Consider the following 14,316-nt stretch of genomic DNA (forward strand, 5'->3'; position numbering starts at 1 on the left):
TTTAGTTCATGAGCTGTTGTTTGCCCATTCCGATGTTCTAGAAGAATGCTGGGGATTTGAAATGCTGAAATTTTCGAATGCTGAAAATCCATTCGAGCAGATTTTTATTTGATTCTGCTCTTTATGGGACAGAAGACAAGTCTGTTTGGGAAGGCATGTGTTTGAAAAGAGCCTAAAGGTGTCTGACCATTGAGACCCTAGTGCCTAAAAATCTGGAAGAGACTGCCTAGTTCTCAGGGAATGTTCCTTCCTTCCTTTATTCATTCATAGACTAGTTTGGAACACCCGCCATGTGACAGGCATCGTGTTGAGCCTTGGTGAGACAGACAGGCAAGTCTTTGCAGAGCTTATAGCTCAGTTACTGCTGGGGCTGCCAATGTGATGACTAATAGCAAAGAGTGTAAAGAAGGACACGACTTAGTTGGGGGCTGGGGAAGACTTCCCAGAAGAAGCAATGGGTAAGCTGATTCCCCTGACTGGGAATCCAAGTGAGGGCAGAGACAAGGTACAGTGTAATCAATGCAGGGAAAGAAACATCAGGTGACAGGCTTTTACATGCCATTTTTAGAGAATATGTGCACTGCTGTATTGACCCTTTTGGGAGGGTCTGATTCTTTTAGACAACAGGAACATCCGCTTTTCCCACTGGCAGATGGATCAGGCTGTTGATCCTGTTCTGTGATCCAAATGGCTCAGTCTCCATACTGGGAGATGGGGAAGGTATAGCTGATGTTTTGTGTGAGTCGGTGAATTGTCACAGAAGTAGACAAAACCATGCAAAATTTCCATTTGTTTCTTTGGATTTACCTCTGAGCCGAGTCTCTCAGATCATTAGAAAAAAAAAAAAAAAACACCCCAGATCACAGAGTCTAATAGATAGAATGTTATCTTTAAGGCAACGCTTAAAACTCAATGTTCGTAATGTAATATTTATTTAAAACAAAATAGCTTAACTGTTTTTTTTTAAACGAAAAAATCTTACCTAATTAGTTCCTTGTTCTTTTGGCCCAAAAAAACTCAATTTTACTTTGTTAAAGAAAATATAAGAAATACCAACTACATGAGAAAGTTAAACTGATGTTTGATTCAAATACTAATTATTTTTATTTTTTAATTTTTAAAAAATTTTTTTCACAAAATTATTCACTCATTTTATACACATTTTTGAGCTCATACCATGTGCCAGGCATTGGGCTACAAAGATGAAAAAGACATCAATCCATTTTTATTTTTCAATATATTTCCCAGAACTTGTGTCATCTTAGGAGTGTCCGTGCTGCTGATTGGGCTCAGGGCACAGGTGCTGCTGGATGGTGTTTGGTGCTTTATGTGGTAACCTATTTCCCCAACAGGACATCATGGCTGCCAGGACGAAAGCGTATGCCAGTGGGCTGCATTGACCATGTGGCTTTGTGCATGTTTGGGGATGATTACAAGGATAATAGAGAGCATTTGGGGGACATTAGTGGCAGCACAGCACAAATGAAGCCAGTGCGTGGCCTGTCTCCTCCTTGCACGGTGCTTCTGGCTTTCTGCTGGTTAATACAAGATGCCATGGATAGATGCTCTTGGCAAATGTCCCTTGGGCTGCTGGCTGTTCACATTGCCCTTGAAATCTGAAATACACACCCTAGGGATTGAAAACTGCTGGAGGCTTCATGTTCATGGAGGGAAGCTGAGCTGTATTGGTGAGAGGAATGGCTGAAAATAAGTCCCTAGAGTAGCTTGGTGTGGAGTTTCTAAACAATTTCACATCCAGCAGGTTCCAGGAAGGGCACAAGGCTACCCAACCAGGTCAATGAAAGGAGGCCATTTGTTGAGTGAGGATGGGAAGGGATGGGCACCAAGGAGGGGCCTGCTGTGTGTGTGTTTGAGGGGGTGTGGGATGCAGAGGGAGGGGGAGGTACACCAGCCTGCAGTCTTGCATGACAGGGACTTGGAGAAGGGTCTCAAGGTCCTGATGTGAAGAGGATTGAAGCTGGCCTCAGAGGAAGCTAATCGTGGCATGAAGGAGACCCTGTGCTGGGGCCTCAGTGTGTGTTGTGGTTCTGTGGGGACAATTAGGGTTTCTGGGTTTCCTGAGCTGCAAAGCATCCTGCTCTCAACACCAGTGCACCAGGTGGCCCACGTCAGCGAGGCAGGAAGGAAAGGGCCCTTCACCCTTCCAGGTGTCTGTTTTACCCCCAGTTGTAGTTTCCAGAGCTCCAGGAGGTTTTTGCTTATGCCTAGTTTGCTGAACTTAGTACAGGAGGAGCCCATCCTGTGCATGTACCAACTACCAGGTTGGCAAATAGGTTTCATCCTGAGTGCCAATTCTGGTCAATGCAGGAGCTTCCTGGAGGACTTTGCTGAGACAGAATTCTTAGGCCACCTCTGGCCCTGCAGGAAAGAGGCTGTGATCAATTATTGATCCCTGCCAGGGATATGCCACCAACTTACCATCTCTATGACTCAGTTGTATTTCCCTAGACCCACTTGTGTAGACCCACGTGCTACCTAGACCTATGTGTGCAGTCTTGTGGGCACTCCATAAATACCTGTGAATGAAATTTAATCTACCTAGAGTGCCTCTCCTCTTGAGTGTCCAGTAGATTCTGTACTTCCTCAGATGGCTTAGCAGGTGAAAAGGGGAATATCCCTTTCGAGTTATCCTTGGAAACCTTATTGTTGGGCAGAGCAGGAAGGATGGGGTAGATGCCTTCATTCATTCTGCAGCTGTTTATTGAGTGTTCACTGTGGGCTGAACCATGGAGGCTGGGTGCTGGGGATACACAGTGTGTGCTGGAGCTGGGGACAGACTTGAGGCCCCCTCTCTCTGCTGAGGTAGAGAGCAGCGAAGGCACCTCACTGCTCAAAGGAGTCAGAGAAGTCTGTGCTTCTCAGTGGCTGAGGGGCTGGGGAGGAAGTCCTCTGCCAGAGCACGGGAACCTTGGCCTCAGGCCTGACAGGTGGCCCTTTTTACCACTGTTCTGCAGGCCTCCTGGGCTCCCTCTGGGGATGCTTGCAGCTTTCACTGAGCCAGTAAGCTCTTCTCTCGCCTGTGCACACTGGCAGAGGACTTGAAGTGCTTCCCAAAAATAAGCTGGTTGCCCCCGGGTCCTGCTAAGTTCTGGCAGTTCCAGAAGAAGCAGATAAAGAATGCAGAAGGTCCTCTGCCTTCAGTCTACCAGGTTGTCTCCCCTCCCCTCAGCCAGCCCCTTCCAAAGCCCACTGGGTAGGTCTGGTTTCTCATCCTCAGCACATGCAATCGTTAGATAAGAATGTTCCAAGAACCTGACTAGCAAGAGTTTCATTACCACTCATTTGGGTAAGTCATGATGTGCCTGTCCTTGTGATCAGCTCCTAAAAGCTCAGAATTTGCCATTTCATGCACTTAAAATGGTTAAAGAAGTGTTTTTGGGAAAACGCAGATGTTAATATTTCAAGTCACATAATAACTTTACAACTATCTTGTAAATACAAGTAGGAGCATTTTTGGTTTCATTTTGTATTCCGTTTACTGAAAAATTAAATAAATTAAAATCTTACCTGTTGAAACATGTATATGTGGATCTGTTCATGCACATTTATACCCTCATGTGTATAAGGAGCCACCATCACATGTGCTTATGCAGATGTCCATGTGTGAGTGTGCAGCGTACACACACACACACACACACACACGTCCTCATGCCCACACGCTAGCCTTTTGTTCTAGTTTCTGATCTTCTGTTATGGTTAGTTTGTAAAGAATTGTGTGTCCCACAACGTGAGGCTTGGAGACATAAGTGTTAGCTGCTACATCTCCTTAACGTATTTTTGTTTTCTCAATCTTCCTTTCATTACTCTAGATATTTGTCATACATTCAGTTACAAATTCATGGCCATCCAAAAGCTTCCCCAGGTATGTGTCCTTCTTCCTGCTTCTGGAGGCAGAGTGGTGTGGCAGGATGAGCATGGCCTTTGAAGTCACTCATGTCATTCACTGGACATGAATGATAAGCTGTGTGACCTTGGGCAGAGACTTAATCACTGGAGTCTCAGTCTCCCAATTAGTAAAACAGTGGTATGGCTGGGCACAGTGGCTCATGCCTGTAATTCCAGCACTTTGGGAGGCTCAGGCAGGCAGATTACAAGGTCAAGAGATCAAGACCATCCTGGCCAACATGATGAAACTTAGTGCCTACTAAAAAAAAAAAAAAATTAGCTGGTCGTGGTGGCACATGACTGTAGTCCCGGCTACTCGGGAGGCTGAGGCAGGGGAATCACTTGAACCCGGGAGGCGGAGGTTGCAGTGAGCTGAGATCGTGCTACTGCACTCCAGCCTGGTAACAGAGCGAGACTCTGTCTAAAAAAACAAAACAAAACAAAAAAAACCCAAACCCCAAAAAACAAAAAACAGTGGTATGCTGATGCCTGCCTCATGAGGTTGTGGTTAGGATGAAAAGAAGTGACATACATGAAATCAATGCTTCCTGCCTGCCACATGGGAGGGACTAGCCTCTTTCCCTCTGTAACCAGTAGGATAACTTCAATACTGTAGAGTAGAAGGGAGCCATAAAGGTCATGACCACCCCCACACCTGGCCTTCTCCAATCCTCTTAGTACCCCACACATAGAATCAGCACCAAGTATCAGCCAGGAGCAGGGTTGCAAAACCCTATTAGATTGAAGCTTCTGAATGTACAGCCCAGTCCTGACCAGTTCTAGGGATTAGGAAGGGAGTTACTTCTGCAGCAGGGAGCTCATTTCACTATCAGCAACGTCAGGTACCTGGAAAATACTTTCTGAAAAGACTGGACAAGAACAGCCAGGGAATGGGTTGGGAGGTGCAGGTGACAGCCTTTGGAAAGGGAAATGACCTGCAGAACCACTGTTGGTGCCTATATTTGTTCCTGGGATCAAGAAGAGCACAAGATTCATCCACTGAGATTCCTTACTTGCTGCTGCATGTTGCCAACAACTTTTTCTGCAATTACAAACTGAGAACATGTGGCATGGTCTGGACATTTGTCCTCTCCAAATCTCACGCTGAAATGTGATTCCCAGTGTGAGGTGGGCCCAGGTGGGAGGTGATTGGATCATGGGGGTGGATCCCTCATGAATGGTTTAACACCATCCCTTTGGTGATGAGTAACTTCTCACTTAGCTAATTCACATCAGATCTAGTTGTTTAAAAATCTGGGACCTTCCCCTTCACTCTCTTGCTCCTGCTCTTGCCATGTGATGTGCCTGCTCCTGATTCACCTTCTGCCATGATTGTAAGCTTCTTGAGGCCTCACCAGAAGCTAAGCAGGTGTTGGTGACATGCTTCTACAGCCTGCAGAACAATGAGCTTTTGTTTATAAATTACCCAGTCTCAGGTATTTCTTTATAGCAATGCAAGAACAACCTAATACAGAAAATTGGTACAGAGGAGTAGAGCTGTTATTAAGAGACTGGAAAATGCAGAAGCAACTTTGGAACTGGGTAACAGGCAGAGGTTGGAAGAGTTTGGAAGGCCCAGAAGAAGATGGGAAAATGAAGGAAAGTGTAGAACTTTTTAGAGACTTGTTAAGTTGTGGTGACCAAAATGCTGATAGAAAAATGGACAGTGAAAGCCAGGCTGAGAATGTCTCCGATGGAAATGAGGAATTGTTGGGAACTGAATTAAAGGTCACCCATGTTATGCCCTGACAAAGAACTTGGCTGCATTGTATTCATGCCCAAGGGATCTGTGGAAATTTGGTATTAAGAGTGATGATATGATATAGGGTGTCTTGCAGAAGAAATTTCTAAGCAGCAAAGCATTTGAGAGTAGCCTGGCTGCTTCTAACAACCTGTGATCAGATGCGGGAGCAACAAAATGCTTAAAGTTGGAACCTATATTTAAAAAGGAACCAGAGCATAAAAGTTTGGAAAATTTGCAGCTTAGCTATGTGGCAGAGAAATAAAAAGCCTTTTCAGGAGAGGAATCCAAGCAGGCTGTGGAACAACCACTTGCTAGAAATATTAGCATGACCAAAAGGAAGCAAAGTGCTAATTTCCAAGACATTGGGAAAATGCCCTGAAGGCATTTCAGAAATCTCTGAGGCAGCCCTCCCATCATAGGCTCAGAGGCCTAGGAGGGGAAGAATGGTTTCTGGGCCAGACCCAGGGCCCCATTGCCCTGTGCAGCCTCAGGACCCTGCTTCCTGCATCCTGGCTGCTCTGGCCCCAGCTTTGGCTCAAAGTGCCCCAGACACTCCTTGGGTGGCCACTTTGAAGCGTGCAAGCCACTGCTAGCCTTGGTGGCTTTCACATGGTGTTAAATCTGCAGGCGCCTGGAATGCAAGAGTGAAGGAGGCTTGGCAGCTTCCCCCTAGATTTCAGATGATGTATGAGAAAGCCTAGATGTTGAGGCAGAAGCCTACCACACGGGCCGAGGCCCCACAGAGTAACTCTACTAGGGCAATGTGGAGGAGTAATGTGGGGTTAGAGCTCCCACAAAGACTCCCCACCAGGGCACTGCCTAATGGAGATGTGGGAAGGGGCCCACTGCCCTCCAGATACAAGAATGGTAGATTCACCAGCAGCTTGTAACTTCTTCCTGGAAGAGCTGCAAGTACTCAACTCCAACCTGTGACAGCAGCCACCATGGGTTGTACCTTGCAAAACACAGTGGCAGGGTACACCTTGGGAGCCCACCTCTCACACCAGGATGCAGGATATGGAATCAAGGATTGTGTTGGAGCTTAAAGATTTAATGCCTTCCCTGCTGGGTTTCAGACTTGCATGGAGCCTATTACCCCTTTCTTTTGGCCAATCTCTTCCTTTGGGAATGAGAACGTTTACCTAATACCTGTACCACTCCTGTATATTGAGAGTATAAATCATTTGTTTTTGATCTCACAGCTTGTAGGTGGAAGGAACTCATCATCATAGGTAAGACTTTGGACTTCGGACTTGAGACTTGTGAGTTAATACTGGAACAAGTTAAAACTTTGGGCGACTATTGCAAAGGCACGATTGTGTTTTGAAATGTGAGAAGGATGTGAGATTTGCGGGGGGCTGGAGGTGGAATGATATGGTTTGAATATTTGTTCCCTCTGAGTCTCATGTTGAAATGTTATTCCCAGTGTTGGAGGTGGGGCCTAGTGGGAGGTGACTGGATCATGGGTGGATCCCTCATGAATGGTTTAGCACCTTCCCCTTGGTAATAAGTGATTTCTCCCCCAGTTAGTACACAAGAGATCTGGTTATTTAAAAGTCTGGGACCTCCCCACTCTTGTTCTCTTGTCCCCTTTCTTACCATGCAAAATGCCTGCTCCTGCTTTACTTTCTGCTATGATTATAAGCTTCCTGAGGTTCTCACCAGAAGCTTAGCAGATGTTGGTGCCATTCTTGTACAGCCTGCAGAACCATGAGCCGATTAAACCTCTTTTGTTTATAAATTACCCAGTCTTGGCTATTCCTTTATAGCAATGCAAGAAAGGACTAATACAACATGGAATGTATTTTCTTTTTCCTCTGATTATATTATCTGGGCACTACCGTGGATCAAAGCCGCAGTCATGACCTCATCATGTTGCTTCTGGGCGACAACTAAACAAATTTAAATATGAATTTAAAGCACACACATTTCTAGAAATCCAGTGTCAGAAGCCTTAAATATCAACTATTTATGTGAGTAGTCATCAAGCGTCTGGTTTGTGACGACTTTTGCACTGTTTTGTCACTATCTGGTGGCTTACAGGAAACCTCCCATTCTACGTGGTTGAAGAAAGAAGAAGTGACACCTTGATGTTTTTCTCAGAAGCTATGGTTGGGGACCTCCCCCTGAAAGCATGCAGATAATTAGTCATCTTGGAGACTATTTTTTAGTACAAGGTAGTCACAGGAAGGCCATGTGAGTACGGAAAGTTATGAGGCTTTGATTCTAATCCCAGTGCACCTTAAATGTCTGTGGGATCTTAGGAAAAATCACCCTTTCTGAGTCCCAGTTCTCTCAGATGTAATAAGAGAAGGTAGATAGAATGCTACCTAAGGGATTTTTTTTTTTGTCCTGACATTTTGTGATTTTTTTTTCACACACAAATAGAGGATGATATTTTGTGATTTTAATATAACCACAAAACTTACAGATCTGCAGAACTTTAGTCTATATCCTCATCACCTTCCTATAGAGCTGTGAGGAGATTCTTCTAACAACTCAATGTCTCTTCCTAGGTCAGTCTTTCTGGAGTGGTCCTTGGGCCTTTCAATACCCGAGTGTTCCTTCTAAAAGATACAACTAATGCCTTTTTCCCTTAAAAAAAAATCTTAATTGGAAACGATTTACCACTTTTCATCTTAACTATGGGTGGCATTTTTCTATTTCTTCACATGTCTAGTAATTTTTTTTTTTTTTTTTTGAGACAGAGTCTTGCAGTGTCACTAGGCTGGAGTTCAGTGGCACGATCTTGGCTCACTGCAACCTCCACCTCCCAGGTTCAATTGATTCTCCTACCTCAGCCTCCCGAGTAGCTGGGACTACAGGCACGCACTACCATGCCCAGCTAATTTTTGTATTTTTAGTAGACACAGGGTTTCACCATGTTGGCCAGGATGGTCTCGATCTCTTGACCTTGTGATCTGCCCACCTCGGCTCCCAAAGTACTGAGATGACAGGTGTGGGCCACCGCGCCCGGCCTGTTCAGTAATTTTTTATCGTGTGCTAGACTTTGGTGGATGATACTTTGTAGGGAGCCTGGATTTTCTTGTCTTCCTTTAAATGGTGGTGAGCTTTGTTCTAGCAGACAGTTAAACTACTAGCACATCTTTTTGGTCCTGTTAGGCTTGGTTTTATTCTTTGTTAGGGCAGGTCTATTTCTGTTTTGAACTTAGTCTTAGGGCACGCCTCTTAACCCTAGAATGTGTTCCCTGCTTTTAAAGTGTGGTCTTTCTTGTATCACCACTGAAAGCCTGAAGTGCTCAGTGAGGTTTCTCCACTCTGCCTGGAACTCTAGAGTCTCCAATATTGCATCATCTCTAGAATTACTGTCCGCTCTCAGCTCTGCGACTGGTGATCTTTGCTAAGCAATGGTCTCACCCAGTACATATATACTTTAACCCTGGATCAAGAATACTTATCCAGATTTCTCCCCCCATCCCCTAAAACACGTACACCATGTGCAGTTCCCTCTTCCTTCTTTCCCTGCCCCACACATCCCAGCTGCTTCAGCAGCCCAGAACTTCACTTCTGCCACCTCAGTTCAGCTTGAGCTCTACCTCAAGAGCTCAAGGAAAGAAAACCTCCCTAGACAGAAAGCCAGGCTGATCATGTGACTTACCTTGTATGTTTCTCTTCTCTCAAAAATCACGGGGCCCTGCACTACCTGCCATTCAGTGCTTGAAAACATCATCTCATGTATCTTGTTTGATTTTATGATTGTTTTTGACAGAAGGGCAAGTCTAGTACTAGTTAGTCTGTCATCCATTGAGAACTAAATCCCCATATTTCACAGCAAGAAGTTTGTACATAACACCTAAAACTGAATATTTTTATTTTTTGAGACAAGGTCTCACTCTGTCGCCCAGGCTGGAGTGCAGTGGCACAAACATAGCTCACTGCAAACTCAACCTCCCTGGCTCAAGCAAGTCCTCCCACTTCAGCCTTCTGAGTAGCTGGGACTACAGGTACAGGCGTGTGCCACCATGCCAGCTAATTTTTGACACGATCTCACTATGTTGCCCAGGCTGGTCTTGAACTCCCGGGCTCAGGTGATCCTCCCATCTTGGTCCCCCAAAGTGCTGGGATTACAGGCAGGAGCCACCACACCCAGCTAAAGCTGAATAATTAAGAAACAACCATATAGGCACATTTTCAATATATACAGGTAATCTGTAGACAATCCAATGTCAGAAATAGTCAAAAGTAATTCTGTCTACTTTGCAATTGGGACTGGCTGGGGTGAGGGATGGGGCTGGGTTCAACTGCTTTTTTAAGAAAAAGTCCTTCTGTACAATTTGATTTTCTAAATCATGTGTAGGTATTATCCACTCTTGTTTATCTCTGTATAAAGCCCAACCAAACTCTTCAGTTTAGCATACAAGGCCCCTCACCCACTTCGTCCCTGCACTTCAAATTCCTCAATAGTGAACCTCTCCCCCTTTCCTTGACATGCCATGCTCATGGCAGGATGCCTTGGCTCTGCTTCGTTGACCCTACCCATTTATCTCATCATTTAGATCCCGAGGCCTTTCTCCCCATCATGCTTTGGCCCTTGAGGGCAGTGGGAGCCCCGTGTTGGTGCTTGGCAGACAGCGTGCCAGGAGCGCTGCCGCCTTTCCATGTCTCTCTTAGTCATGTCACCTCTTGTGCATTTCCTCTCCATTTGTCAGCCTGGCTTGCTGGGTCTCACACATTCACTGCATTTTCTCACGGATAATCTAAGAAACAAAAACTGCTCAGTAGTCTACCTAATTCACAATGCATCTTGCTGGTAGAATAATCAAAATGAAATTTAAAAAAGTGAGAGTGGCGAAAAGTATACTTGATAAAATATTGTTTTTTAACCAAAAGATGTGTAAAATAATAAGATTCTAGACTATATTGATTGATATAAAATTTGACCCAGGAAAGTCAAAGTTGGAAGAATTAAAGGCCTATGTACATCTATCACCATGAAAAAAGCTTTATTCAGTACAATTTGGTGTGAACAAAACAAACAGATCAACCAGTGAAACTGGTACTATACAATGCCAAAGGAAGAAAAGAATAGATGGCAAAAATAATTCTGATAACATAAAAGTGAAAGTCAAAAAAATAGGAAACTATTGAATTGCCTTGCATTAGAAAATTGATGAAGGAAATAAATTGGCTCAACAGAGTTTATGCTGGAAAATATTTTCTTAACAGGAAAATATCCCCAGGATGAAGATGATGGGTTTGTAACACCCACTGTGTTCTTCTATTTCTCTGCATTTTTGTTCAAGGCCATCCTTTTGTCTAGAAGATGCTCTTCTGACTTGGCCTCCTCCCAACTTCTACTCACCCCTTGGTGAACTCGTGTCATCTCCTCTATGAAGACTTCCCTGCAACCCAAGGCACCTTCTCTGTACCTTCTTTGCACTCCCACTATCCCTTGCACATCTTTTATGTGGCTTGACTGTGTTGTATTTTTTGTTTTTTTCGAGATACAACTTCCCTCTGTGGCCCAGGCTGGAGTGCAGTGGTGTGATCATAGCTCACTGCAACCTCACACTTGTGGGCTAAAGTGATCCTCCTGCCTCGGCCTCTAAAGTACTGGGATCACAGATGTGAGCCGCTGGGCCTGGCTGATTGTGTTGTATTAAACAGGCATCTGTCTATGGGCTTGAACTCTTCCATGTATCTTGATGTATTTGGTTTTTGATCACCAGTATCCAGCAGATTTTTTGGTTCAATACACATTTGTTCAATATGAGTAAGTTTTGTAAGAGGGGAGAAGAGGAGATGCACAAAGGTGACTAAGATATAGCTCCTGTCCTCAAGAAGTGCGTTCTCTGGCAAGCAGATGGCCAAGGGAAGTTTTAAAAATGGCCACAGTGGGAGGCCATGAGAGGCCCTGTGCCCAGGGACAGTGAGCTCAGAGCTGGCTGAGGGAATCTAGGATTTCTTTCTTAAAAAATACAGTGGGAAGTTGGCCAGATGCAGTGGCTTATGCCTGTAATCCCAGCACTTTGGGAGGCTGAGGTAGGAAGATCACTTGAGGCCAAGCATTTGAGACCAGTCCGGGCAACATAGAGAGACCCCCAACATCTATGTGAGCATGGTGGTGTGTGTCTGAAGGCTTAACTATTTGGGGTCCTGGCAGGTTGAGTCTGCAGTGAGCCATGATCATCACTGAACTCCAGTCTGGGCAACAGAGCAAGACCCTGTCTCAAAAAAAAAAAAAAAAAAAAAAAAAAGAAAAAGAAAAAGAAAAAAAGAAAAGAAAAAAAAGGTTTCTCCCTTGCATGATAACTTTTAAAAAATGAAAAATTTAGACAAAATAGAAAATCACTCATATTTCTATCACATAATGTAACTATTTTTTTAAACTTCTTTCTCTGTAAGTTTTGGGGATTGAAAAAAACTTTTTATTTTGAAATGATTATAAATTCACAGAAAGCTGCAAGAACAGTACAGAGATGTCCTGTGTACCCTTCACTCAATTTTCCCCAATGGGGACATCTTACATGTGTATAATACAGCCTCAAAGCCAGGGAAGTGACATTGGTCCAATCCCCAGATCTTATTCAGATTCCACCAGTTTTACATGGTAGAGCTTTTTGCTAACAGAGTTATAATGGGCTTATATGTGTGGTCCATATCTTATTTCTTGAATTAACTTTATCTCATGCAGCTTTTTAAACATTATTGCATAAATCATTTATAAGGTCTACATAATGAACATTCACCCACCTCAAGTAGCAGTTGGCTAAGTTTGTCCCCCGCTTCTGATGTTTCCATTACTTCCAGTTACACTGTTAGGAACAATGCTTCTGTATTTTATATTCTTCTTATATACATCTATGTTTTATATTCTTAGAATAAATTATCTAAAGAAGAAAGGAAGGAGATACAGGATGATAAATGCTTAAGGGGGCTATGTAATACTTTTTTCTTAAGATAGGAAAGAATTAAACATACATTGGTTTTGGGTCTGACCAAGTACAGAGGGAGCAGTGGAAGATACAGGGGAGAGGTCTTCTGACTGGAAAACACATAGGAGGGGATGGGGACACGGGAGGCTGAGAGCATTCATGTCCTCAATTTTTTACCCTTCCCTGTCTGCAAGCCGTTTGCCATGTAACTTTGGAGTTCTTCCCATAAAAGCACAGTATTTATTTCCCTACTCTGCAGGGCTTGCTTTGGCATGCAGAATGAAGCAAAGGGTCAGTGTGCCAGTTCTGAGCCTAGGCCTCAAGGGGCATTGAGCGTTTCCAGGGCTCTCTCTTGAGCCTCTGTCATAGATATGAAAATGCACCCGAGCCAGCCTGTTGGAGGTGAGAGACCAGGGAGCAGTGCGCGATCTCCCCAGCTGCCTCTGCCAAGGGTGGCCTAGATCAGCCAACAGCCCGCAGCCCCTCACACGTGATGTGTCCAGCCCAAATCAGCAAAGCTGCCTGACTGACCCGAAGCACAGAAGTGGTAAAGTTTATTATTGTATGTCATTGAGGTACAGATGACTTTTCACCTGGGAACTTTGCAGCAGAAGCTGACTGATACATGGTGCTCAGGATAGAGGTAGAGGGAAAGAAGGAAAAGAGGTTTCAGATCTAGGTAAGTCCAGGCATTACAGAAAGAGCTGCTTTTCTGTGGATGTGGTCGTGTTCTTTGCAAAGACTATTTCTTTTCTGCCTCTGATGGTGGGTGGGCAGAGGATGACCATGCATCTTAAATGAGCCACTTAAACTGAGGAATTAAACTCTTTTTTTTTTTTTTAAGATGGAGTCTTGTTCTGTCGCCCATGCTGGAGTGCAGTGGTGTGATCACAGCTCACTGCAAGCTCCACCTCCCAGGTTCAAGCAATTCTCCTGTCTCAGCCTCCCGAGTAGTTGGGACTACAGGCATGCGCCACCACACTCAGCTGATTTCTGTATTTTTAGTAGAGACAGGGTTTCACCATATTGATCAGGCTGGTCTCAACCTCTTGACCTCAGGTGATCCGTCTGCCTCGGCCTCCCAAAGTGCTGGGATTACAGGCGTGAGCCACCACGCCTAGCTAGGAATTAAACTCTTAAAGTTTTCTGTCTCAGCTACCAGGGCCAAGATGTAAGAAAAGGGAAGTTAGACTTTTGTTTAAAGAAAGCATGAGACAGGCCACCCTACGAACCAGGGCTGCCATAGACAGTGATGCAGGCTGTGCCCTGCACAAGGGCTCCTGGCCAAGGGCAGTGTGAGATGCATTCAGTGCAATGAAGCATGGATAGGAAGAACATGTCTGCATCAAAGTGCAACTTATACTCTGTGTACCAAAAAGAGTTTCACTGATAAGAATGAGGGGAAAATAGCACCTACAATTAGATACAGAATTTCCTCAGTATCAAAAAGCTAAGTTGTTTCTTTTCTGAAGCCCTTGATATACAATAAAAATAAATCTTATGCCCCACAGATAACGCTGGTTTAGTTTCGGTATCTTGGTGCCACCAGGAGCTGCGTGCTCTTTTTGAAATGATGAGAGTAGGTAAAAAGTAAGGAGTCTCTCCTGTTTCTCTTTATAGGATGGTTTTCCTGCTCTGTTAAGTGGCGCTCATCCTTCAGCTCCACACTCAAGGGGCAAGGACTCCTGTGGTTAAATATTCTGAGATCAATGCCACAGAGGGAAGCCACTCAAAGGGAAAGTCTTGGGCCTTTGGGTGTGGGGCAGGACT

General features: G+C 44.5%; 2 annotated features.

Moving 5' to 3' along the window:
* Positions 7,428–7,667: an enhancer, noted in NCBI's record as "active region_1587". NCBI's record gives its function as "activates an Ori minimal core promoter by ATAC-STARR-seq in GM12878 lymphoblastoid cells {active_cell/tissue: GM12878}" and the evidence as "EXISTENCE:reporter gene assay evidence [ECO:0000049][PMID:35858748]".
* Positions 7,858–7,927: an enhancer, noted in NCBI's record as "active region_1588". NCBI's record gives its function as "activates an Ori minimal core promoter by ATAC-STARR-seq in GM12878 lymphoblastoid cells {active_cell/tissue: GM12878}" and the evidence as "EXISTENCE:reporter gene assay evidence [ECO:0000049][PMID:35858748]".

This window comes from Homo sapiens, chromosome 1, assembly GCF_000001405.40.
Source record: "Homo sapiens chromosome 1, GRCh38.p14 Primary Assembly".
NCBI classification, from domain to species: domain Eukaryota; kingdom Metazoa; phylum Chordata; class Mammalia; order Primates; family Hominidae; genus Homo; species Homo sapiens.